The following is a 27,406-nucleotide window of genomic DNA, read 5'->3' as shown; positions in this document are numbered from 1 at the left end:
AGATGCTTCACATCCCTTGTAAGTTGGATTCCTAGGTATTTTATTCTCTTTGTAGCAATTGTGAATGGGAGTTCACTGATAGTTTTGCTCTCTATTTGTTCTTGGTGTATAGGAATGCTTGTGCTTTTTGCACATTGATTTTGTATCCTGAGACTTTGCTGAAGTTGTTTATCAGCTTAAGAAGATTTGGGGCTGAGATGATGGGGTTTTCTAAATATACAATCATGTCATCTGCAAACAGAGACAATTTGACTTCCTCTTTTCATACTTGAATACCCATTGTTTATTTCTCTTTCTTGATTGCCCTGGCCAGAACTTCTAATACTGTGAAGGAGTGGTGAGAGAGGGCATCCTTGTGTTGTGCCGGTTTTCAAAGGGATTGTTTCCAGTTTTTGCCCTTTCAGTATGATACTGGCTGTGGGTTTGTCATGAATAGCTCTTATTTTGAGATACGTTCCATCAATACCTAGTTTAAAGAGAATTTTTAGCATGAAGGGCTGTTGAATTTTGTCGAAGGCCTTTTCTTCATCTATTGAGATAATCATGTGGTTTTTGGTCATTGGTTGTTATGCGATGGATTACATTTATTGTTTTGCATCCCTGGGATGAAGCTGACTTGCTCGTGGTGGATAAGCTTTTTGATGTGCTGCAGGACTCAGTTTGCCAGTATTTTATTGAGGATTTTCGCATCCATGTTCATCAGGGATATTGGCCTGAAATTTCTGTTGTTGTGTCTCTGCCAGGTTTTGGCATTAGGATGATGCTGGCTTCATAAAATGATTTAGGGAGGATTCCCTCTTTTTCTATTGTTTGAAATAGTTTCAGAAGGAGTGGTACCAGTTCTTCTTTGTACCTCTGGTGGAATTTGGCTGTGAATCCATCTGGTCCTGGACTTTTCTTAGTTGGTAGGCTATTAATTGCTGCCTCAATTTCAGAACTTGTTACTGGTCTATTCCAGGATTCAACTTCTCCCTGGTTTAGTCTTGGGAGGGTGTATGTGTCCAGGAAGTTATCCATTTCTTCTAGATTTTCTAGTTTCTTTGAGTAGAGGTGTTTACAGTATTCTCTGGTGGTAGTTTGTATTTCTGTGGGATCGGTGGTGATATCCCCTTTATCATTTTTTATTGGGTCTATTTGATTCTTCTCTCTTTTCTTCTTTATTACTCTCGCTAGCTGACTATTTTGTTCATCATTTCAAAAAACCAGATCCTGGATTCATTGATTTTTTGAAGAGTTTTTTGTGTCTCTGTGCCCTTCCGTTCTGCTCTGATCTTAGTAATTTCTTGCTTTCTGCTAGCTTTTGAATTTGTTTGCTCTTGCTTCTCTAGTTCTTTTAAATGTGATGTTAGTGTCGATTTTAGATCTTTCCTGCTTTATCTTGTGGGCATTTGGTGCTATAAATGTCCCTCTACAGACTGCTTTAAATGTGTCCCAGAGATTCTGGTATGGTGTGTCTTTGTTCTCATTGGTTTCAAAGAACATCTATATTTCTGCCTTCATTTCAATATTTACCCAGTAGTCATTCAGGAGCATGTTGTCTACTTTCCATGTACTTCTGCAGTTTTGAGTGAGTTTCTTAGTCCTGAGTTCTAATTTGATTGCACTGTGGTCTGAGAGACTGTTTGTTATGATTTCTGTTCTTTTGCATTTGCTGAGGAGTGTTTTACTTCCAGTTATGTGGTCAATTTTAGAATAAGTGTAATGTGGTGCTGAGAAGAATGTATATTCTGCTGATATGGAGTGGAGAGTTTTGTAGATGTCTATTAGGTCTGCTTGTTGCAGAGCTGAGTTCAGGTCCCGGATATCCTTGTTAACATTCTGTCTCATTGATCTGTTTACTATTGACAGTGGGGTGTTAAAGTCTCCCACTATTATTGTGTGGGAGTCTAAGCCTCTTTGTAGGTCTCTAATAACTTGTTTTATAATCTGGGTGTTCCTGTATTGGGTGCATATATATTTAGGATGGTTACTGCTTCTTGTTGCATTGACCCCTTTACCAGTATGTAATGCCCTTCTTTGTCTCTTTTGATCTTTGTTCGTTTAAAGTCTGTTTTATCAGAGACTAGGATTGCAACCCCTGCTTTTTTGCTTTCCATTTGCTTAGTAAATATTCCTCCATCCCTTTATTTTGAGCCTATGTGTGTCTTTGCATGTGAAATGGGTCTCCTGAATATAGCACACCAATGGGTGTTGACTTTTTATCCAATTTGCCAGTCTGTCTTTTAATTGGGGCAGTTAGCCCATTTACATTTAAGGTTAATATTGTTATATGTGAATTTGATCCTGCCATTATGATGCCAGCTGGTTATTTTGCTCGTTAGTTGATGCAGTTTCTTCCTAGCATCGATGGTCTTTACAATTTGGCCTGTTTTTGCAGTGGCTGGTACTGGTTGTTCCTTTCCATGTTTAGCGCTTCCTTCAGGAGCTCTTTTAGGGCAGGCCTGGTGGTGACAAAATCTCTCAGCATTTGCTTATTGTAAAGATTTTATTTCTCCTTCACTTATGAAGCTTAGTTTGGCTGGATATGAAATTCTGGGTTGAAAATTCTTTTCTTTAAGAATGTTGAATATTGGCCCCCATTCTCTTCTGGCCTCTAGGGTTTCTGCTAAGAGATCTGCTGTTTGTCTGATGGGCTTCCCGTTGTGGGTAACCTGACCTTTCTCTCTGGCTGCCCTTAATATTTTTTCCTTTATTTCAACCTTGGTGAATCTGATGATTGTGTGTCTTGTGGTTGCTCTTCTCAAGGAATATCTTTGTGGTGTTTTCTGTATTTCCTGAATTTGAATATTGGCCTGCCTTGCTAGACTGGGGAAGTTCTCCTGGCTAATATCCCAAAGAGTGTTTTCCAACTTGGTTCCATTCTCCCTGTCACTTTCAGGTACACCAATCAAACATATATTTGGTCTTTTCACATAGTCCCATATTTCTTGGAGGCTTTGTTCATTTCTCTTCACTCTTTTTTCTCTAATCTTGTCTTCTCACTTTATTTCATTGAGTTGATCTTCAATCTCTGACATTCTTTCTTCCACTTGATCGATTCTGCTATTGATACTTGTGTATGCTTTGCGAAATTCTTGTGCTGTGTTTTTCAGCTCCATCAGGTCATTTATGTTCTTCTCTATACTGGTTATTAAAGTTAGCAATTCATCTAACCTTTTCTCAAGGTTCTTAGCTTCCTTGCATTGGGTTAGAACATGCTCCTTTAGCTCAGAGGAGTTTGTCATTACCCATCTTCTGAAGCCTAATTCTGTCAATTTGTCAAACTCATTCTCTGTCCAGTTTTGTTGCCTTGCTGGCGAGGAGTTGTGATCCTTTGCAGGAGAAGATGCATTCTGGTTTTTGGAATTTTCAGCCTTTTTGTGCTGATTTCCCCCCATCTTCATGGATTTATCTACCTTTGGTCTTTAAAGTCAGTGACCTTTGGCTGGGGTCTCTGAGTAGATGTCCTTTTTGTTGCTGTTGATACTGTTCTTTTCTGTTTGTTAGCTTTCCTTCTAACAGTAAGGCCCCTCTGCTGCAGGTCTGCTGGAGTTTACTGGAGGTCCACTCCAGACCCTGTTTGCCTGGGTGTCACTGGCAGAATCGCAGAATGGCCAAGATTGCTGCCTGTTCCTTCCTCTGGAAGCTTCGTCCCAGAGGGGCACCTGCCAGATGCCAGCCAGAGCTCTCCTGTATGAGGTGTCTATTGGCGCCTACTGGGAGGTGTCTCCCAGTCAAGATACCCAGGGGTCAGGGACCCACTTGAGAAGGCAGTCTGTCCCTTATTGGAGCTCAAACGCTGTGCTGGGAGATCTGCTGCTCTCTTCAGAGCTGCCAGCAGGGACTTTTAAGTCTGCTGAAGCTGGACCCCCGACCGCCCCTTCCTCCAGGTGCTCTGTCCCAGGGAGTTGGGGGTTTTATCTGTAAGTCCCTGACTGGGGCTGCTGCCTTTTTTTCAGAGATGCCCTGCCCAGAGAGGAGGAAATCTGGAGAGGCAGTCTGGCAGCAGTGGCCTTGCTGAGCTGTGGTGAGCTCCACCCAGTTCCAACTTCCCAACGACTTTGTAAAACCACCTACTCAAGCCACAGCAATGGCAGACACCCCTTCCCTGACGAAGCTCAAGCATCCCAGGTCGAGCTCAGACTGCTGTGCTCAAAGTGAGAGTTTCAAGCCAGTGGATCTTAGCTTTCTGGTCTCCGTGGTTGTGGGAACTGCCAAGCCAGACCACTTGGTTCCCTGGCTTCAGCCCCCTTTCTAGGGGAGTGAACAGTTCTGTCTCACTGGCATTCCAGGCGCCACTGGGGTATGAAAAAAAACTGTGACTAGCTTGGTGTCTGCCCAAATGGCCACCCAGTTTTGTGCTGGAAACCCAGGGCCCTGGTGGAGTGGGCCCTGGAGTGAATCTTCTGGTCTGCGGGTTGCGAAGACCGTGGGAAAAGCTCAAAATCTGGGCCAGAGTGCATGATACAGTCCCTAATGGCTATTTCCTTAGGCTAGGAGAGGGAGTTCCCTGACCCCTTATGCTTCCTGGGTGAGGTGACAACCCACCCTGCTTTGGCTCGCCCTCCCTGGGCTACACCCACTGTCCAACTAGTCCCACTGAGATGTACTGGTTACCTCAGTTGGAAATGCAGAAATCACCCTTTTTCTGAGTAGTTCTCGCTGGGAGCTGCAGACCAGAGCTGTTCCTATTTAGCCATCTTGCCAGCCACCTTGCTGTTTCTTCTTAGACCTCAGGGAGGGGTGTGAGACCCAGTAGAAGCTTTCTCTTTGGAGCAATGCTGTTATGCAGTCTCCAGGCAATTTCCTATGTTAGTCTCAGTGCCTGAGTGGGTCAAGGGGCTCACCCATGGCTAGAATTGCAGGAGTTTGTGTTGGGAATGTGGACCACTAGGGGTCTCTCACCCTTTTCCTGCATCGGAAAGCCTCTCTAGGTTCCCAGCTGATCCTGGCTGAGCATGCTGCCTCTCTTCACTCTTTTTCCATGCCTTAGCTGTTTCCTGTTCACTTTGGCTGTTGAATTCTGGCATTCTTGCTTAGGTGATCTATTCAAAGTGTGATTATCTACTTGTTATTTTGGTTCTTCTTTGTAGTGCAAGTGGGTACTATATGCTTCTCATCAGCCATTTTGAAGTCCCTCCCTTTTAAGCCTTGCATCCAATTCAGCATCTATGTGAAGCAATAGCAACTTAGTTTTCAATTCACTGACCTCTGACAAAATGGCAAAAATATCTCACAAATCTCTTTGATTGAACTTACTACCAGTATCCACACACAATTTGTTTAATGTTTAAAATTTGAATCAAAATAATATATGCATGTGAAAACAAACAAAATAGTAATGAAGAGTTTATAATAAAAGCAATGGTCTCTCATTCTAGGACTTTTCACCCACACTTTCCTTTCACTGGGACAATCTCTTCTCTCTCTGGTTTTAGTTCTTCTGGCAGTTGGTTTTTACAGAACTTTAAATAATAAGCTTATTTTATTTTGTGCTTATTAAGTTTAGATAATATCCACTGACAGTCTGCTATGGGAAATGAATATTTCTAACTCATATACATTATCTTACTGATCCCCTTCACCCATGTTTGGTAGTTAAATTACTACTTTTGGATTGCCTTGTGGTTACTTTTATGACTTTAAATAGTATGCAATACCTCTACTTCTTGTTCTGCTAACTTTTGTCAGTGTCTCAGCTCATCTTTATGTAAGAGGATATTATCACCCCTACCCTTCTGTCCATCTTTTCGTTCCCTTTCACCTTTTACTTTCTGGAAATACTTTCTATAAATACCATTTTACATGATCAGATTTGTCACCATTTATGTTCAGTTCTGGAACTTCAACAGAATCTTGCATGATGTATTGGTAGGTTGGTTCCAGAATTTGAAAATGATTTTAAAAACTTCTGCTTTGTCATAACTCTACAAACTGTATTCACTGTCAGGCCATTACTTTCTTATTTGTACCATGTCCTTGATATCAAAGCCAAATCTCACACTTCATTAGCAGCATAGGATCATCTCACATTTTAGTTTGCTTCAACATAGTGACTTTCTAACATAATGTTTTGTTTACCCACAAGGTTTTTCTTGGATAGCCTTCATCAGAACAATGTGCTTTTCTGCCATCTCAATCATACTATTTTTCAGGGGCCCCTTTTCCCTGAAGGTCTACCTTGCAGAGCTGCTGTCCTTTTGCTTTACTCAGGACCTGGTAAATTGTAGGCCTATTGCATAGCTTTAATTCTGGGGCTTCTCTACCTTGTTAAATTGTCTTTTTCTAGAGTTAACAGATTTATGAAACAAAAGCACAGAATGCCCAGTTAACTTTTTAATTTCATATAAATAATAATTTTTAGCGTAAGTATGTGAATTTATTGTTTCCTATATCCCAAGGCTGCCTCTCTTTCTGTTGACCCACCTGTTTTCATGGAGAATATTCTCAATTACCTTCCTAAAAAAAGAAAGCATAAGAAGTAAACTTGCTGAGTTCCTATAAATGTCTTCTTTGTCTCTTCATCTTTTCTTTTCTCTTTTTATATTTGATTGATGGTATAGCTATAGAAGTGTAGATTGAAAAACAATTCTTTTCAGAAATGTGAAGACATTGCTCCATCATTTTTGTTATCCAGAATGTCTAATGCCAGTAGAATTCACATACATCATGATAAGTATTTTCCTTTTAGAAAGTACTTAAAATCATTTCTTTATTCTTAGTGTTCTGAAATCTCACAATTTGATAGAGGCCTGTTTAATTCTTTCTTTGAGTCCTTAGTAAGTCCTTTAATCCTGAAGAACTATGACTCTCATCAGCTCTGGACAATTTTCTTCTGTTATTTCTTTGCGATTTTTATCCCTTCCATTTTTTCAGTTGTCTTTCTGGAACTATTGGTCATACCTGGATTCGTCTCAGTGCCTCTCCTTTTTTTCCTTCTATTTTTCATCTCTGACTTTTTGTTCTGTATTTTAGAATTTCTTAATTTTTTCCATCTCTTCTTTTGATTTTTTTTTGTTTTGGCAATTATATTTTAATCTTTATAAGCCTTTCTTGTTCTCCAATTATTCTTTTACAATAACATCACATTTTTATTTTGTGAATAATCTGCTTAAATTTCTCTGAATATATTAGAGGTTTTAAAGTTCCCTCCTATGCCCTTAATTATTTTAATAATTTAATTTTTGTTTGTTTGTTTAGTTTTTCTCTTTTATGTTTTGATTCCTCATATATGCCTGATGCTACATAATTATCTATTACTAAAGAAAAAAGGACTGGGTGGTTTGGGTGGATTTGCTTTGCTGCTGTGTTAGTCAGTCATCTTACCAAGGAGGCCTCTGCACCATGTGGGGTGACAGGGCTGTGTTGACTGTCATATTCCATTACAGCATGAATTGGTGGAAAGCTGGATGTCAGGCACTGGCTTTCAAAACGCCATAGAACAAGCTTGTGCAACCCACAGGTCATGGGCTCCACGTGGCCCAGCATGGCATTCAGTGCAGCCCAACACAAAATCATAAACTTTCTTAAAACATTATGAGATTTTTTTTTGCAATTTTAGTTTTAGCTCATCAGCTATTTTCTGGATGCTGGTATTCTAAGCATAGAGGTCTGGGAGAAACACAGCGGTTCTGATTTGCACTGAAAATCTGTAAAGAAACTTTCGATTAATCTCTCTGCTTTGGCTACATTTCTCACTCTCAACTCAGTCTAGCATGTTTCATGATTTCTAACAGGCAAATTCTGTCCCACCCTCCCTGTACCCCTGTATGTGCATTCATTGTTCAGCACACTTCAATATGCATCCCGTATTCCAAATATTGCTGAACTCTCCTGTAAAATTGTGATCAAATCACATCCTCCACATTCTTAGCTTGTGTGGCGAGGTTTATTCATTTATTGGTACTTTTATTATTTTATTCCGATGAGTCTCAGGAAAGAAGAGAGATAGGCTTAAGTGCCTGATACATCACCTGGAACTAGTAGTTTGCTATTGTTTCTATTTTGTTTCTTGATGGAAATATAATTTAAGTTAAATTATGAGTTACTTCCTCAATTACTTCTACAGAATTGCTCAGCTGCAACCACCACCATCTACTTTGCACCTAAAAAATCTGAGGTCTGGCCGGGTGCGCTGGCACATGCCTGTAATCCCAGCACTTTGGGAGGCCGATGCAGGCAGATCACCTGAGGTCAGGAGTTTGAGACCAGCCTGGCCAACATGCCGAAACCACGTCTCCACTAAAAGGACAAAAATTAGCTGGGCATGGTGGTAGGTGCCTGTAATCCCATCTACTCAGAAGGCCGAGGCAGGAGAATTGCTTGAACCCTGGAGGCAGAGGTCGCAGTGAGCAGAGATTGCGCCACTGCACTCCAGCCTGGGCGACAAGAGTGAGAAACCGTCTAAAAAAAAAAAAAGTTGTGGTCCCCTGAAATTTGAGAATATCAGTGACTGTGATAGAATGACTATAGATTTGTGCTGAAATACTAATGATGATTCTAAGACTTACTTGAAAAAACTTTGAGATAAATATTTTCAAAAACATTATGGAATTGGTCTCATTCATTCCAAAACATCTGATAAGTGTCTAGAGTGGGCCAAGTATGAGGTTAAGTTCTGGCAAGGTAGGATGTAAAGATGAATAAGGTATAAACCTTACCCTTGAGGATAATATAATCTGGTGAATAACTTGAGTTTACATAGCAGTTTGCAGTTTATAAATCAATTTTACCTATGGCAAACTCTTGGCACTTACTGATTTACCATTCACAGTTTTAAATACTCCCAAGGGACCCCAGTGATCCAAGATATGTATAATTTATTCATTTGCTCAAGTACAAATTTGAATCACATGCACTGTGAGACTGTGTGGATGATGTAGTTGACTGGGTGGTGAAATAGCCAAGTTAGCACTTGTAGATCTCAAAGTAGTAGCCTTGTACATATTGTGTATTAATTTATAAACAGCTTCTTCAGCCATTTGAATTTAGTGGAATACAAACATAGAATGGGTTTATTTTTCTCATATCATTGCCTTTAAAAATGCTTTTTCAGATTTCCCTTCTCACTTTGATATTTCAGGCAGATTACATAGTTTTCAGACACTTTCTGTTGTTAAAAGTTCAATGTAGTCCAATTTAAGATTTCAGTTTCATTTCTTCCAATCCCCAAGCTCAGGTTTGACTCTGCCAAAGAACTTGGAGTGAGAGAGAGGGCCTGGCCTGCTATTACTTGTCTCCTCTCTTCCTTTCTGGTTCTAGCTTATTCATTATGCTGTGAGGGATGGAAAGAGAAGAAAAGGGATGATGTGTTACTTTCCTAGCTACTGCCCCTTCTTACTAAAGAAAAAGCAACTGGAATATTTCTGTGCACTTACTTTGCTGTTGTTGTTGTCACTGTGGCTCGGACATAACTGACCAGCCATCAACACTCACTGGGGCAGGCATCCAAGGGCTGGCTCTCTCATGGGGTGCAGGTGGACATTTTCTGGGGGAGTCCTCACTGAATAGTTCTTTCATGTAAGTCATCAGCTTTGGTTTGCCCTCCTCCAAACCCTTTCAGCTCCATCCCTGGTGATTCACCTCCACAGTCTCTTAATGTCAGGTGAGGTACCACCAGGGAGGCTCAAGTCCGTTTATTGACTCCATATCCTATTATGATGGGCTGTTTTACTGCTGCCCTCTTTCTGCCTCATTGACTTTTTTTCAATTCTCTTGTGGTCTCTTTGGGTCTCATTTCTCCCTGCTCAAATGGGCATGGAAGGCTGACTAGCAGGTCTGCCACATAAGAGACATTCAATTGAAAAATGAGATGTTGGTCTACCCCTCTTACTGCATCTTCAGTCTCTATGAGAGATTCTCTTAGAACCCTCTATAACTTGGAATTTGGAAGAAACAACTAGTCCTCTCCTCAGTGAGGATTGTAGGGAGAGTTCTATTAACTGCAATCATTGGTTGTATCCTGCCGACTCCACTGTCTCTGATCCACCTCCCTCCCCACAATATTGGCTTATGTAGACAGGTGTAGGAAGCAGGTAGAAGTGATTAAAGGATCTATCCCCAATTTCTTGTGGAAGACTTTCTTTATCCTTAGATTTGGATCCTACTTACTGATTTTGAGTGGTAGGAAAAATATTGCTCAATAGCCCATTACATTTTGTGCTATGCATGTAGTCACATTAATTTACTGGGGAGTTGACAAAGAGTTAAGAAACATTCTTCCTGAATATTTAGAGCTGTGTTTCTTAAGATATGGTTTACAGAACACTCTCTCTGAATCCACTGGGGAGCTTAGGGGAAAACATACTAATTCCTGGGCCCAATATCTAGACATTTGGACTCTCAAGGGTTGGGAAAGAGTTGGGAATCAAAATGTTGAACAAACACTTCGGGTTTTCCTTGTGCATGCTGAAGTTGGGCAACCACTTGTCTTAAGTCCACTACGCATTATCTTAGGCCCTCCCAACACTCTGTGAAGTAGGTAGGAATAGTATTATCTTCATTTTACTGATGAGAAAATTGAGATTCAAAAGAGAACTGTGGCTTGCTAAATGGCAGAGTAATATACCACTCAAAGCTAATGATAATGAATATCAACCTGCTTCGTTACTCTGCCACTGGCTATAATTTTCAGCAGAGAGAAAGTATCACTTAATTCATTTATGTTTTTTCAGATTACCAAAGTAATGTATATTTATTTTATGAAATCCATAAAAGCACAAAAAATAAACTAAGCAATATAATCCCAACATTCAGATGTAATAATGTTTCTTCATGTTATATTTGTTTTTAATAAAATTAAAATCAAACCATATGTTAATACTCTTTAGTAACCTGCTTCCTAAAATTGACATATTGTAAATTTCACCATCCATTAAATTAGTTCTTTAGCATTATTTTCAATGGCAATGTAATGTTCTACCTTATGGGTATACAAATCTATTTAAGCAATCTCCTGTTGATGGATAGTTTGATTGTTTCAACATTTTACTATTAAAAAAAAAGATACTTTAAAGGTTAGGTACCTAAGGGAGAGGGAGAATATATTTCAGCCTCTGTAGATAATGAAACCAATTTTTAAAGGTTATTTATAAAAAGTGTTCAGGGTCTGAAATGATATGGAACATTTCCATGGTCACTAAAAAGATTATGTTTTCTTTCTTAACAGGAACAAGACCATTTTGTTTTACTTTAACCTGTTACGCTGTACCAGTCCCTCCGTGTTGCTAAACCTACAGTGCCCTACCACACAGGTAAGGCAAAAGGTGCCTCACTGGTAGTGTCAGCCGTTCTGAACATTCTTGGATAAAAGAATTGAGAAATTCCATTTGAGTTCTCTGTGTGTGTGCGTGGGCAGGGGGTTCATTATGAATTTCTAGACGATGGGAAGATATAAGTATGAGCTTATATTTGTTTATATACAATCAAAACTAAGCAGAAATTAATCATTTTAGAATCACTTAGGAAGCTCGATGATTGTCTTGTCCAACCACTTACTTTTATAAATAAATATGTGCAGCCCAGAGAAATGGAGTTTTTATCAAGATCAACATTGTATTAGGAAAAGTAAAGCTAGCTACTATAACTAACAAACCACGTTTTTCAGTGACTTCACACAATAACATTTATTTTTTGACCATATAACAGTAAAAGGCAGGTGTCTGTGGTCAGTAGGTACTCTCCTCTAGGCTCCTTCCATCTTAAGGGTGGCTTAAGCACTTAAGGGTGGCTCTGCTGTTCCTTAAATCCTCCCCATCATATGCATCCAGCAATGAAAAGGACACAGTGAGGATGAATAAAACATCCTGCTCTTAAAAGCCTTGGATAAGAAGTTTCACACATTGCATTTCCACTCATATGCCACAGACACAAACTGGTTATAAGTGGTCGCATCCCTCAAAGACCTAAAGACAGAAATACCATTTGACCCAGCAATCCCATTATTGGGTATATACCCAAGGGAATATAAATCATTCTACTAAAATGATGCATGCACATGTATGTTCACTGCAGCACTATTCACAATAGCAAAGATATGGAATCAATCTAAATGCCCATCAATGATAGATTGGATAAAGAAAATGTGGTACATATACACCATGGAATACTATGCAGCCATAAAAAAGAACAAGGTCACGTCCCTCGCAGAGACATGGATGGAGCTGGTGGTCATTATCTTTAGAAAACTAAAACAGGAACAGAAAACCAAATGCCACGTGTTCTCACTTATAAGTGACAGCTAAATGATGAGAACATATGGACACAAAGAGGGGAACAACAGGCATGGGGGCCTATCAGAAGGTGAAGGGTGGGAGGAGAAAGAAGATCAGGGAAAACAACGAATGGATACTAAGCTTAATACCTGGGTAATGAAATAATCTGTTCAACAAAACTCCATGACACAAGTTTACCTATGTAACAAACCTGCACATGTACCTCTGAACTTAAAATAAAAGTTTTTAAAAAAGAAATTTATATGTTTCTAATCCCACAAAAAAGATAGGTCACACCCAGATTCAAGGAGAAAGGAATTGAGCAATGTAGCTATGAGCTGAGCTGCCTTTTCTATACCATGGAACAAATGGAACAAGAGACACAAACCTCAATGAATAGTTAAGTGTGTCTTCTATAGTCTACCTCTCTGGCCTCCAGAACACACTTCTTCTTCCCAAAGGAGAACCCAGAATCCCATGTAGTACTGTTTTTAACTCAAAGTCCAGAATCTATAGATGATGTATAGTTCTCTTTATCAAGTCTTGACACTACATGTACAATGGTAACATGGACAGAAAAATTAGAATTACAAACTCTCATTTAGAAAAGGAGTGATAAATACACAGCAGTTTCTGGATTGTGGCAATGGAGAACAGTCTTTTATTTCACCTGGATTGCGTTCTCTGAGAAGATTTCCCTGTCCATTGCTTCCTATAGCCGTTTGCTTGGCCACCTGGGAGGTGATTTTCTGTCCTTTAACCTCCAGGCCACACCATTGCTGAGCACTGGAAAGTGTGCTGTCTTGAGGCCCATATTGCTTTGAAGCTCACTTCCAGTTGTGCAAGTTTCATATCACAAATATTATTTTAACAGTGAAAGGCTTTTTAAGGCTACCTCATGATTTTTTCTAGCATTACAATTACCTCAGAAACTTAATAGACTTCTGACTTTTTTGCTTCTTCTTGGTTCCATGTGCCGGTAACTATACCCAAAGCTAGTCCCTAGGATTAGTTTGTAAATCTGCTTTATTTTTTTGCTTCCTCATCTCCCTCAAAGACTTTTGAAATCTTACTTCTGCTGAGACTAAAGCCCACTTGGGATGTTGGTATCTTAGTTCTGTGACCACTTCTACCCACGTCCCCAAGGGCAAACCCTTGACCTTTCCAGTATTAATAATTGCTACCCTTTGTAATCTCAATTTCTCTGATCATCTTGATTCCTCTGACATTGCAACTCCAATAATTCTTTTACCTTACTGGGACCTGCAAACCACTGATCCTAACCCATCCAAAGTATTGCTCAGCTCCCTCAGGTTTGCATCTCTCTCCTTACCTGACTTAGATTCCACAGTCTCTCAGTGAAATCACTCCTGTATAAACATTCTCAATTCCATTGTCCCCTTTCACTTAGTTGTAAGTCCCTGGCAAAACCTGACTATAAAGGTAGCTTTCAGCCTACTCCATGCCTGAATCCAGGCAGCTGTGTGTTCTTGGAGAAAAACATACAACAACCATTTAAATTCAGGACCTAACTTCAAGTGGGCCGTTAATGCTGTCTCTCAACCATACTACAGACCGTTGTCCATTCTATAGCCTACTGCTATAGAATTTCACACCTTTTCTTCTCACCTGGAACTTCCAAGATCTCTTTCCCAATCTCCATGCCAGCTTCTAACTTTGCTTCCTGTCTCACTGAGCAAGTACAAGCATTCAGAAGACAACTGTTAAAATCTCCCTCTCTGACATCCGTTTGCCTGCCTATCTTCGTCTATGTCATATACTCATTCTGCCTTCCCTCTAATTCCCCATGGGTGAACTGCCTGTGCTTCTAAGACCAGCCCATCCATTTGTGTATTAAATCTCATCCTCTTGCATAATTAAGCACATCACTTTGAAATGTTTTTTTATTATCATTTTTTCCTTCTCTACTAAATTATCTCCATCAATATACAAAGCTATGGCTTGATCATTCATCCTCTTCAAGTATTTCTGCAAATGTTACCTTCTTAGTGAGGCTTCCTTGAATACTTATTCAAAACTATAATTCCACCCAGCCATTCCTCTCTGTCTCTAGTATCCTTTCTATCCTTTTTTACTTACCATCTTATACCATCTTATTCATTACCACTTATTACCATCTTACAACAAACATTTTACTTATCTGTCATTTGGTTCCTGTCTCACCCTACTAGAAGACAAATTGCTTAAGGACAAGGATTTTTATCTGTTTTGTTCACTACTGTTATTTCTTTAATCTTAAAAAATTTTTCCCTTGATCCCACATCCCCCTCCAGCTACTGGTCCATATCTCTGTGCCTCTTTTATTTTTTTTCAAAACTCCTCAAAAGAATAGTCCACATTTATCTATCTAAATCCTTTCCTCTCACTCTCATCCAAGCTTTTATCCCTACTTCAATTTCCCCTAAACAATACCATCGACCTCAACATTATTAAGCTAATGGTTAGTATTAAATCCACATTTACTTGATCTAACAACAGTATTTAATCAATCCCACCTCCTTAAAATACCTTTTTCACCTGGCTTCCAGGGCACAACATTCTTCTATATTTCCTCCCAACTCTCTGTCTACTCCCTATCAGTCTCCTTTGATGAGTTATCTTAATCTTTCTAACATCTTTTAAACACTGCATTTCCCTCCCACAAGAAGCTTGGTCCTTTTCTAAGTCTGTATTTACTTTTTTGATGATCTCACCTAGTCCATTGGGTTTAACACCATCTACTTGCTGACTTCTCAAATTTACATCTCCAAATAAATCTGCTCCTTGAGTTCCAGACCTTTCTATCCAACCACCCATGTGATATTTCTACATGAATATTTGGTTGGCATCTCAAATTTAACATGTCCACAACTGAATTCCTAATCTCTGACTTTATCCCTAAAATTGTTCCCCACCCCAATGTATTCCCTGTCTCAATTAATGCCAGCTCCAAATACCTTGATTTCTACCTTATCCTTGATTTCTCTCTCTCTCATACCCATGTTTGAGCTCTCCTTAGGTCTCCCTCCAAAATGTACCCTGAGCCAAACTATTTCTCACCACCTCTTCCCTAGTTCAAGGAGCCATCACCTCTTTTTTAGATTAGTTCAAGGATCTCCTGACTGGTCTTTCTGTTTCTGTCCTTGCCCCCTTATCCTTTGCAGTCTCTTTTCCACCCAGTAACCAGTGTGGTCCTGTTAAATATAAGTCTGATTATGTCTCTTCTTTGCTTAAATGCCCCAATAGCTTCCCAAGTTACTTATATGAAAAGCCAAGGTCCTAACAATGACCTGTAAGATCCTTCACTGTCTGACCCACTCTCTGACCACATATCCTATTCTACTCCCTTTTCTCACTACACTTGGGTCACACTGGCCATTTGTTGTACTAATACTTGAAAGGATCCAGGAACTCTCCTGCCTTAGAGACTTAGACTTTGCTGTTCTCCCTACCTAGAGAATTATTTTTCCAGATGACTGTATGTCTTGATTGCTCATCCTGTCCAAGAATTTCTGCAAATGTTACCTTCTTAGTGAGGCTTCTTTGACTACCTCTTCAAAATTAGAATCCCACGCAGCCACTCCTTTCTCTCTCTGTAGCCTCCTTTCCAGCCTTATTTATTTATCATCTTATACCATCTTATTTACTACTATTTATTACCATCTTATGACAAACATTTTACTTATTTATTATTTCTTATATGTCTCCCACTACCACTACTGGAAGACAAATTGCTTGAGGGCAAGGATTTTTATGTGTTGTTCACTACTATTTCTGTCCTCAGTGCCTGGAACAGGCTCAGAGTAGGGGATCAGTAAATATTTATTAAATGAATGAACAAATGACTGAATGAATGAGAGAATGAATATCTTCCTACTTCTAGTTAAGAATTTTTCCACTGTACTCTACAAATCTATCATTCCTATGATAAAACAAAATATACTTGCATATTATGCTTTTTTCTTGTTTCATAAATGAGTTACTAGATCATCTTTTCTTCATAACAAATGTGGTGTTTTAACCTTCAATGTAATTCACTCTCCCAGCCACCAAATTCCAATTTGTAACTGAGTGTTAAGACTATCTGAATTAAAGATAGAAATGGTAATACAGAGCTTTATGCAAAGTGCCCTTTGTGGTGCACAGAGAATCAGAACTGAGTCAGAATTAGCTCTTATTAGCTGAGTCATTATTGACTGCTAATAATGAAGACTTGCATTTAGTCTTCCAGACGGTGCATCTACTGATCTGAGCCATATTTCTATGCACGATGTTTTTGTTAACTGCTGGCATGGTCCAGACATGTGTCACAAGCACTTAAAGGACAGACTGTGATCAATTAGAACATCCAATCTCAATGTGACCTTCATTTTGGCTAATTATATGTTGATTACTACTAATCTGCACCCTATTTGAAGTGAACAAATTGGTCTGATAGAGGGAGAAAGTAAAGTGCAGTTGTATTGTTTTTTAACAGCTCATTTGTGTCTAGAATGAGATTTGATGTGATTCTCCTTAACAAACTACGTTTTACTATTTTAATTACTTTCTTTTATGTGTTGCATACACAGCACTTTTCTATGTGTAGTATACATTGTTTGTGTGTGCTTTATAAATACAGAATCATCATGGTCTCAATTCAGAAGTACCTACCATCATTTAAAGCCTGTGAAAGCATTAGTTCTTTCAGTACTCACTTATAAATCCATTTAAGTGTATTCAATAGAAGTAGTTCAGTTGTCTTTCAAAGTTACATGAGTCAATTGTTGAAGTCTAAATGTCTGTCAAGTATCTCCTAATATGTTAATGGTTTATTCAGCTTGGCTCCAATCAGAATGAACTTTTGACATTTGCATTGATAATCATCTTAACCTTCTAAAAGATGTGGGTGTGTTGCATGCTGTGAATGTCCCTAAATTGTTCTTCAGCTTTCTTAGAAAGATACCTATGAAGCCACTAATATTTTCTCTGAAGGTACATGAATATGCAAATGTCATTGTGTGTGTGCATGCACACGTGTGGATGAGAGACTAAGAAAGAGGAAATACATGTGGAGGTGTGGATGTGGAGATGAGTTGTTTGCCCTGCCAAAATTTCTAGAGGGAATTGAACTGCTATTGCTTCAAGAAAATATTAACTGTGAGAGAGGCCTATACATTTTGTTATTCTCCTGCTAACTTAGCTGTAGGGTCCACACCAAATGCCTTTGTGTACAGCAGGTACATAACCCAAAAGATGGAAAGGAGATGTCAGCTAAGCAGCAGTGTTTTTACCTAACTGCCAATGAGTTGAGCTACAATTTGGCCAATGAGAATAATTACCAGAGTAGGGAGATGGAGCAAGTCAGGGCTGAGAAAGATTTCAGAAGAAGGAACTAAAGGTGATGGAGAGACTTGAAAGGGTTAGCTGCAGCTCACATGGCTTCATCTGACTTTTGTTTTTTATTGTAAAAAAAAGCAAAACCAATAGTGTATCTCCTCTGATTCTGCCTTCCCTCTGTGGAGTTACTAATTGGATTTCAGTCACTCTGTGGTGGCTTCGTGAAGTAGCATGGTGATCTGGCTTGGCACTGATAGGCCCCCAAAGTTTATTAATGTAAAATAATTGCAAAGATGACCTCTCTGTCCACATTTAGATGGTATTGGTAAAAGACCATAATGATGATTGATTGTGCCAAATAGCCTTGATTTGTTAGTTTCTTATGGTGATAAAACCCCAGTTACATTTTGAGAATTGTGTTTGAGAATTCACGGGCACTAATAATTATTAGTGTCATAGGTGTTCAATATTCAGAGAATTTTAAATCATCATTTTATTCATATTTAGGAAAGGAAGGAAGATTTTAACCCTGAATATGCATTGACTACACAAGCAATATTAATCTTAAATTATACTGTAAAATCATAAAGTGTTTTATTAAAAGTCCATCTCTGTCCTGTGGTAGTGATCACACAACCACATGTCTGATAAAATGGCATAGAACTACGCACATACACAGGCACACAGAAACAAGTGAATATAAAACGGGTGAGCTCTGAGTAAGGTTAGTGTCTTCTAACTGTCTTACTCTGCTTAGTGTTGCTACAAAAGGAATACCTGACGCTGGGTAATTTATAAAGAAAAGAGGTTTGTTTGCTTATGGTTCTGCAGGCTGTACAAGAAACATGGAGCCAGCATTGCTTCTGTTGAGGGCTTCAGCTTTCTGCTTTCCACTCATACCAGAAGGCAAAGAGGAGCTGGCATGTGCAGAAATTACATGGCTAGTGAGGAAGCAAGAGAGAGGATGAGGGAGGTGCCAGGCTCTTTCTAACAACCAACTCTTGAGGGAATTAATAGATTAAGAAGCTACTCATCATCACAAGAACAAGGAGGATCTGCCCTCATGAACACCCCATTAACAGGACAGATGCTTCCCTGAACTATAAGAACAGGGTGCTGCTGCATCTATGAACCCAAACACCTCCCATTAGGCCCCATCTCCAACACTGGGGATCAAATTTCAACATGAGGTATGTGGGGACAAATAACCAAACTATACCAGTAACAATATTAATTTCCTGCTTATGATATTGTGTTATGGTTATGAAAGTTCTTACCATTGAGGAAAACAGAGTGAAAGGTATGTGAAATCCCTATTATTCCTCACAACTACATGTTGATTTACAATTATCTCAAAATCAAAAATTAAAAATAAGTCTATCACTGTATGGTATCTTGTTTTAACATAACATCAATATCAAAGAGCAAAGAATAGAGATTGGTAACTAGTACATGAAATTTCATTTTTTACAATAAGACTAGAAAATTGATTTAGACCAGGTTCAGTGGCTTACACCTGTAATCCTAGCACTTTGGGAGGCTGAGATGGGTGGATCACTTGAGCTCAGGAGTTTGAGACCAGCCTGGGAAACATGGCAAAACCCCGACTCTGCAAAAAATACAAAAATTAGCTGGGCATGGTGGTGTTTGCCTGTAGTCTCAGCTACTCAAAGGGCTGAAGTGGGAGGACACTTGAGCCCAGAAAGGTTGAGGCTGCAGTGAGCCATGGTCATGCCACTGTCTCTAAAAAAATAAAAAAGAAAGAAAAAGAGAGAGAGCAAGGAAATTGATTTAGGTTTCTTAGATGGAAAACAGTGCATTGCTTTTTGTTATGGTGGATAATTTAGAAGTCTAGCTTTATAGGTAGTTCCTGGGTTTGTTCAACTCAGTTCAGTTCTCATCACTTTGTTCGTTCACAGATCTGTGTCTCCAAGTGCCCAGAAAAATTTTTAACCTATGTGGAAATGCAACTTTTGTACACAAAAGACAAAAGCTACTGGGAAGACTACCGTCAGTTCTGTAAGACCACTGCTAAGCCTGTGAAGGTATGTGTGTTTAAGCTTAAAGCAAGAGAACAATTTAACTTTTTTTTTCAATCTCAAGTGTAACGTGAGAATTTGTTACTGAACAAGCTCCCAAATCTTCTAGGAAATGATTAGATACAATTTCATTGAAACAGAAATGCATGTGTACTGGGTGTGCATGCACACCAGTTATAGCACATCATTTTGTAGATTTGGGGTGTCATGAAAGACTGTTATGTCTGGTTAATTAGCTTCTACTATTCCCCGACACTAATAAATTCTCTACTTGGATAGACTTTTACTCTAGAACTAGGAGTTAATGTCATTTGCAATCACCATTTCGTTAATGTGGTGATGAAGCCCCATAGCAACTTAGTAACAAGTAGAATTTTATTTCCAAGCCCAGTTTGATAACAACTCATTTAAAAAACCCCAACCCTTACCTAGGTTTGAGATACGTAAGAGAATTCTAAATCATCACAATGTTAAATAATATGAATGGTTTCTAAATTAGAGAAGATGTTGTTTTTCTAGAAAAAAAAACCCACAAAAAAATCAGAGACTCAGGATATGGCTAAGACAAAGACACACACCTCCAAAGGTGTTCCTTGTTTTCAGATGATCTGGTTTTATTATTGTTGGTCCGATTGAATTACAGTTAGGACAGTTAAGAATGTCAAGCAAGATTGTGTGTGTGATAATCTTACAATTAATATTATTAGTAGAAGTAATTTGAAATAAGGAGATTATTATGGAGTTAAATTTTTTAAAGGACATATTTAGATTCAGTATAAAGTAATCATCACATGGCCTTTGAAATGTTAACGTTCTTCCTTCTATTTTAGTCTCTCACACAGCTTTTACTGGATGATGATTGTCCAACAGCGATTTTTCCCAGCAAACCTTGTAAGTGGCAACTATTTTACCTTAGAAACATAGGATCTACCAAAATGCTACTTAATTAAGTTCCCGTATTTCACAATTGATGAGACTGAGGCCAAGAATGGTCCTCTGACTGCCTAAAGTCCCAGAGTTGATTAGCAGGAAAGTCAAAAGTAGAGCTCATCTCTTGGCTCCAGCCAGGTACATTTTCACTGGAACTCTGAATTTTTGAATTTTCCTTTGTAAACATACAAGAAAAAGATTGAATGTTGAAAGCTCAGTCAGATTGATCATTTGGTGCTTTGGAAGCACGCATAAACACACACACAGATATGCTCATATACACCCACTCCTGATTTTAGCTGAAAAGTTTGTTCAGAAATTGCCTGAGGAGTAGGGGGAGGACATATACTTGTCTTTATCACTTGAAATATTTATATATATTTGGAATTAGTCAATATTTTATTTCTTTAAAATTATGAACTGTATACTGTGGACAAAATGAGGCCAGGCATAGGGGCTCATGCCTGTAATCCCAGCACTTTGGGAGGCCAAGGTGGGAGGATTGCTTGAGTTTGAGACCAACCTCAGCAACATAGTGAAACCCTGTCTCTACAAAAATTTTAAAAAGAAATTAGTGAGACATGGCAATGTGCACTTGTAATCCCAGCTACTTGGGAGGTCAAGAAGGGAGGATCACTTGAGCCCAGGAGTTGAAGCCTGTAGTTAGCTATGATTGTACCACTGTACACAACCTTGGCAACAGAGTGAAACACTGTCTCTAAAAAAATAAAAAGAAAAAGAAGAAAATGAAATAATCACTGAGTTTTCTTTCTTATGGATATAATCCTAATTACAAAAAAAAGCTTTACATTAAAATGTCCATCACATTTAAAGTGTCAAAAAGAAAAAAGAAAGAAATACTCTACTATCCAAGACCGAGAATATTTAAATTATAATGTATTCACTAAATGAAATATTTTAGAATTATTAAATATAACTATTAGAATAACATGCATGTATATGTTATAATGTTAAATAAAATTCAAACTGTTACTATCCTTATAATGATAAACATGTATAAATTAAAACAAACAAATAAATAACCACAAGAAAACCTCTTCAAAGAAAAAGATTGGAACGAAATATACCAAAACATTAAGTAGTCATTTTGGGAGTGGCAAAACTGTGGGAAATTTCACTCTTCTTTCTTTTTTCTATTTATTCACTTTCTTACAATGTATATATTTCTCTTAAAAAGGAGGAAAGGCATTAGTCATTAGTTTGAGTAGACAGTCAAATACCCACTGAAGTAGCTACCACCAAACATGTCTTACATACTTCCATCACTCTTCCCTGGGTCATAAAAGACCTTGAAGCAAAGATGTAGGTCCCACAGCAACAGCACTTACCAGGAAGCTCTCAGCAACAAATGTCCATAGCCAAAATCAATGTTATAAATTTTTATGCAAAAGGATAAATATAAATCATTAGTAACAAAAGATATAATAGGTATAAAGGTATAAGACATAGTCTCTGCCCTTACAAGTACACTTTGGCTAAGTACACAGGATAAAGTATACCTTGGGGATACAAAAATGAATAAGGCGTAGTCCCTCACAGTCTAGTGAGAAAGACATTATATGTTGTAATCAACTTGTGTTCCTCCTAATATAAGATTAAATAGCACTCAATGGAATAGTATGCAGATAATAAAATTTGTTCATTAAAGAGCTCATAAAAGGAAATAAGTAAGGTTAAAACAAGTAAACAAGGGAAAACATTGCATGTCTTGTGTGATTTTGACTCTCAAAAAATATTTACTGTAGAAGAAAGACTGGAAAGAAATTCCCTAAAATGTTAATATAGTACACTGTAGGTGGAAGGACTAATTTTTTTAATATTTTATCCACTTTCCAAATATGTAATGAACACATTTAGTAATGAAAGCTAACAGATTGCATGAGATTATCCAGAAAAAAATATATGAAATAAGGTCAAGGGACCCTCTAGATAGGAACACTTGTATTTAAGAAGTAGAAAGGGAAAGAGTGCACAGAAATATGGGAGGACATGAGAGAAACTGACCATGGAAGCCAAGAAAAGAGAGTTTCAATATGCCAAGGAGTATGTATCTACCATGTCAAAGGCTCGAAAAAGTTAACTCATTCATCAGCAAATATTGACTGATTTCTACAGTGTGCCAAGCCTTGTGCTAGGTAATGGGTTTAAGCAGGATGAAGACTAAAACATATCTGGAGGTTTTGACAATTCAGAGGTCATTGGGATCACTGGGAGGATAATTTCCATGAAGTGGTGGGGCCAAAACTCTGATTAAACTGAGGGTGTAGAAGCAGCTGGTAAAGGCTACTGTGTCAAATTTGCCACAGAAAGGAAGGGAAGAGCAGTAGAAAGGTGGGGCAGGTAAAGGAATCAGCCACGTCCTAAGTGCAGCAGAGGCTAGAGGTGAGCAGACAAGAAAATCCTTTTAAGCCAGGAAAGTCGGGAAAGGCTTTAAAGAGACCTATTTCTTCTTTCCCCAGCTCAACTGCTTTAATATCTTCAGGTTTAAACTACATATGAAACTGTGCAATTCAGTGATGCTTCTTATAAGAAAAAAAAATATGAAAATGATCCATTTCTGATTTTCCTTATTTCTTCCTTTAAAATTGTGGTTTTAAAATATTTTTAGAAATAAATGTGTAAAGAGGCAAAGACTCCAATCAAAATAAGAACATAGAAGATTGAACAGTGATTTTACTTTTCTTAGAAATCATACCAGTCTACAAAGTGTAGGCCTCTTTTGATAGTTTCAGAATTTCCATTTTCAGCTCCACTAAAAAACTGTTGTAAATGAAAAAGCTGGGAGACAAATTGTTAAGAATTCACAGACAAAAATTTAGTTGTTTTAGTAGCCTAAAATTTGAGCTGGTTCTTATTTGCCAAGGTATTATTCACTGATCCCCAATTTTCAAAGTTTTACTCAAGTAGTTCCTAATATGTATTTTTAATAGTAAAACTAAACTCATCCAGTCATACAAGTTAATGTGGCCTTTCTACTAAAATGTGCTTACCATGAATGGTATGTATCATTGTTACTCTTTTAAAACCTGTGATGTACATTTTATTTATGATGACTTGATGAATATACCAGATGTAAAATAATCAAGTTTAGAATGTAGTTTCAGAGTGTGATCATATTTGCTTTCTAGTCTTAGGACCATTAGAAAATCATATCATCAAGTAACAGGCAATGAGCTATCTATATTGAGCAATTTGCATGCCTAGCAAGAATTTGATTATATATAACAGAAAGCTTAAGAAAGGGAGGACATCATTAAAGAAGAAATAGAAAAGTGATTACAATAATTTTAATTTATTTTTACAGTTCTCCAGAGATGTTTCCCTGACTTCTCTACCAAAAATGGCACTTTAACAATAGGAAGTAAGATGATGTTTCAAGATGGAAATGGAGGGACAAGAAGTGTTGTAGAACTCGGGATTGCTGCAAAGTATGTGTGTTTACATTCTAATTTTCAGTTTGATGCATTTTGTTATTGCACTCGAGACTAAAGCGCCTATTGGGTTAAGGGTTATAGGAAAATAATCACATATATATATATATATATATATATATATGAAATATACGTGTTACTGTGAATTGAAGAGCTTGATACATATTCATTAAGAAGAACATGTAAGGGAGAACCCAGAATCATTTAGAAAGAATAATGATGCTTTTTTCTGTTGCCCAGGCTGCAGAGCAGTGGGGCCATATCTCAGCTCACTGCAACCTCCACCTTCCCGGTTCAAGCAATTCTCCTTCCCCAGCCTCCTGACTAGCTGGGATTTAAAAAAAAAAAAAGGAAAATAAAAGAAAGAAAGAATAATGATGCTTTTCAAAATGGTTAAATCTTTCATTATCAACAGGTATAGAAGTGTGACATAAAGAAATGTATTGGTGGCATATCAAATTTCTATGTACTAAGTATAATGCAGTAAATTCCCCACGTCCCTTGGCTCTACACACATGGTGCTCCATGTTACTGGAAAATATATTTCCCTGTGTGCACGCATACACACATGTGCACAAACATAAATGTGTACAGCATATCGCTGCATTGCTCAGTTGTTGAATTATAGATAAAAAAGATATTCTAAAAATTTATTTATCTTAAAAGACTTTAGGAGTATAATTAGTACAGTGTAGTTCCTGCAGATTTAGAATACAATAGCAGCTTGCATGATTTTCAGAAATATAAATCTGTGTAAAAGAAGTCTCAAAATAATGATACAAATATGATTTCTTTGATATAAAAGTCAAAAACAAGCAGAGTTAAATTTATTTCCCTGTGATGCATATATAATTAGTAAAATGAAAAAGAAAACTTAGGAATTATCACAAAAGTCAGAATAGTGGTTACTTTGAGGAAGGGAGAGGTGTTGCAATTGGGGCACATGAAGAAGGGGTTGACAATGTTGTAGTTACATAAATGTGTTCACTTTGATAATTCCTCAAATTGGACAGTGATGATTGTGAAATTTCTAGTATGTGTTCCATCATGCCTTACTGTCAGGATTAGGAAGAGGAATTAAAGATCATGTTCATTCTTGACTATGGGTTTTGCAAATTAAAAGCTAATCTTATCATTTAAATTCATTTCTTACAGTGAGGTTTCTGCAATATTGAGGGAATGTTGCATACAGTGGAAAAGGATTTGTTCACCGTTCTTGAAAACCATGTTCTCTCTGCGTGCAGCTATAGCTACCTTTGCAGGTTTACTGAAGTGACATTTTATGTATTATTGTGGCTAGGAAAACAGTCACTACTGATAGATGGTTTCTGAAAACATGCTTTCAACAGCACCTTGCAGAATCCCTTTTATCATAAAAAGAACATTTCTGTTTAGTGGTCATCAAAAAATAATTGATTTTTTCCCTTCTTTCAATGCAGTGGTATCAATAAACTTCTTGATGCAAAGTCACTTGGATTGAAAGTGTTTGAAGACTATGCAAGAACTTGGTATTGGATTCTCATGTAAGTGAAAACACATAGATGTTTCTTCTCCAGCCCCATTCTGATTTTATCTTTGTAGAACTCTTTCTTCAAATTTTATATTTTTATTCATGAATAAAAGAAATGTACTGGTGGCATAACAAATTTCACTCAGATGTCAGTTCCTGCCATTTTCTTTTTCAGGTGAGGTGAGACAGGGAAAAGATATTTGGAAATATGCCCACTGTTGGCAGAGTGTAAATTTTAATTTTATTCACTAAAGTACTAATAAAAGTACCTATGAATATATACTTCAAGTCACATGGAGCAATATCTGCAGGACTTCTGTATCTGTAATACTCGTGTGCTTCTCATCACATGCTACTGTGGAGGCAGGATTGTTTCTCAGATTCTTTTTTCTAATTCGTCCCTCCCTTGACTTTAAAAGGATCGTTCCTATTTTTCAACACATCCCTTCCACGTAATGATTGGTATTCATCATAACCAGAAGTCATTGTAGTTATGAAAGCTACATAGCTACATATGCGATACATAAATATATATGTATAGATAACAAGGAGGAGGAGATGTAACATTTTCAGGCATAAGAGTTGCATTCCTAGAAAGTTAAGGAAATGTAGTCACTGGACTGGAATGGGTAAATGTGTGACCCATTTAAGACTGTCATTACTGTCTGGCTCTTTTGTCACCCTCCAGTGCTTAAAAGCTCCCATGGTTCCCTAATGGTCAAAGACTAAAATTAAAACTTTTTCAGTTACTTCTAAGGCCCTTTAAAACCTAGCCCAATTTAGTTTCTCAGATTCATCTCCACCCAAGTTTCTTGGTTAACACTATATTCTAAACATATCAAATAATGTGCCCATCCCTAGACTATCAAATCCTGTAAATTTGCACATTCTGTTTCCTTTCCTGGTACTGAGTCCTGGACAACTGCACCTCCTTTTTAAAAATCAGCTTTAGTATCATTTATAACCTTTATTATCTTCCCCAGATGTAATTACTTACTTCTTCTTATGTGTTCCTCATACCCATCATGTGTGTACATGTGTGTGTTTACACACCTATAAATACACACACATACTTATCTTCCATATAGCACCTACCATTCTGTGTTTTATTTACCTGGCCCTTTCCCTCTGATAAAGTATGAACTTTTTACAATAGTAACTATGTCTAACTCATCTTTGTTTTCCTAACTTCTATATGGGTCCTTGAATGTAGCAGCACAAAAAAAATGTGGTTCAGGGAAGAGTACGAAAAACACTAGTGGAGCAAGATAGATGCATGTAACTATATGATGCATAATAAAGTCTAAGTTGTATTTTGTGTGAGATACTAGTGTGTGGTGTTTAGAGCTGTAAAATTAGATCACTTTATGAGATTTTACTCATTTTGATGCTTTGTCCTAAACAATTACAGTAATTACTGTTAGTATGTTAGGATTTATCTCCAGCAGAGATTGTAGTCTATTCTCGACAGTATTTAAATTGATTCTCCTATTGTCAGACCCAAATGTCACTAGATAATTTCCACGCTTCTTCTTCATTTGGCTTTTTCACACCTACCTGAACAAGTGTACATTATGATAGATTATCCTGCCTACCTCACCCCCAAAACACACAATGAAACCCTCTCCACCCAGGCACCACTCATAAGAGTAAAACATGAACATCTCCCTTTATTTTCAATTCTTCTGCTCTTATTTATTTTATAAATATAAATCTAAAGTATTGATACGCTTAAAATAGCTGTATTTTTTGTTTTTTTTCCTCTGACATTTCTGAATACTTCCCTTGGGCTAGGCCATGGAATAATCTTTCAATCATATTGAATATTTAAGCATTAAAGTGTCCGTGATTTTAAGAGGGAATGACTTCTCAAGTTAAAAGCGCAGGCTTTGCAAGACCATGATACTTCAATACTGTGTTGTCATCTATCCAGTGACAGTAATTATTGAGATTTTTTATAATAAA

At 37.7% G+C, this 27,406-nt stretch overlaps 1 protein-coding gene across 13 annotated transcripts in view; it reads left to right on the top strand.

Moving 5' to 3' along the window:
• SLC44A5 (solute carrier family 44 member 5) overlaps nt 1-27,406 on the top strand; it is a 521,887-nt gene that overhangs the window by 461,575 nt on the left and 32,906 nt on the right. For all 13 annotated transcript variants that reach the window (XM_047449166.1, XM_017000608.2, NM_001130058.2 and 10 more), the window contains 5 exons: nt 11,147-11,231; nt 19,430-19,555; nt 20,380-20,440; nt 23,805-23,928; nt 25,371-25,454. In XM_047449166.1, coding sequence (XP_047305122.1) covers nt 11,147-11,231; nt 19,430-19,555; nt 20,380-20,440; nt 23,805-23,928; nt 25,371-25,454 — 480 coding nt within the window. The remainder of the gene's footprint in view (nt 1-11,146; nt 11,232-19,429; nt 19,556-20,379; nt 20,441-23,804; nt 23,929-25,370; nt 25,455-27,406) is intronic.

This window comes from Homo sapiens, chromosome 1 (assembly GCF_000001405.40).
Source record: "Homo sapiens chromosome 1, GRCh38.p14 Primary Assembly".
Lineage (NCBI taxonomy): Eukaryota > Metazoa > Chordata > Mammalia > Primates > Hominidae > Homo > Homo sapiens.
The sequence above is the reverse complement of the archived record's forward strand: the minus strand, read 5'-3'. Positions and strand labels throughout refer to the sequence as shown.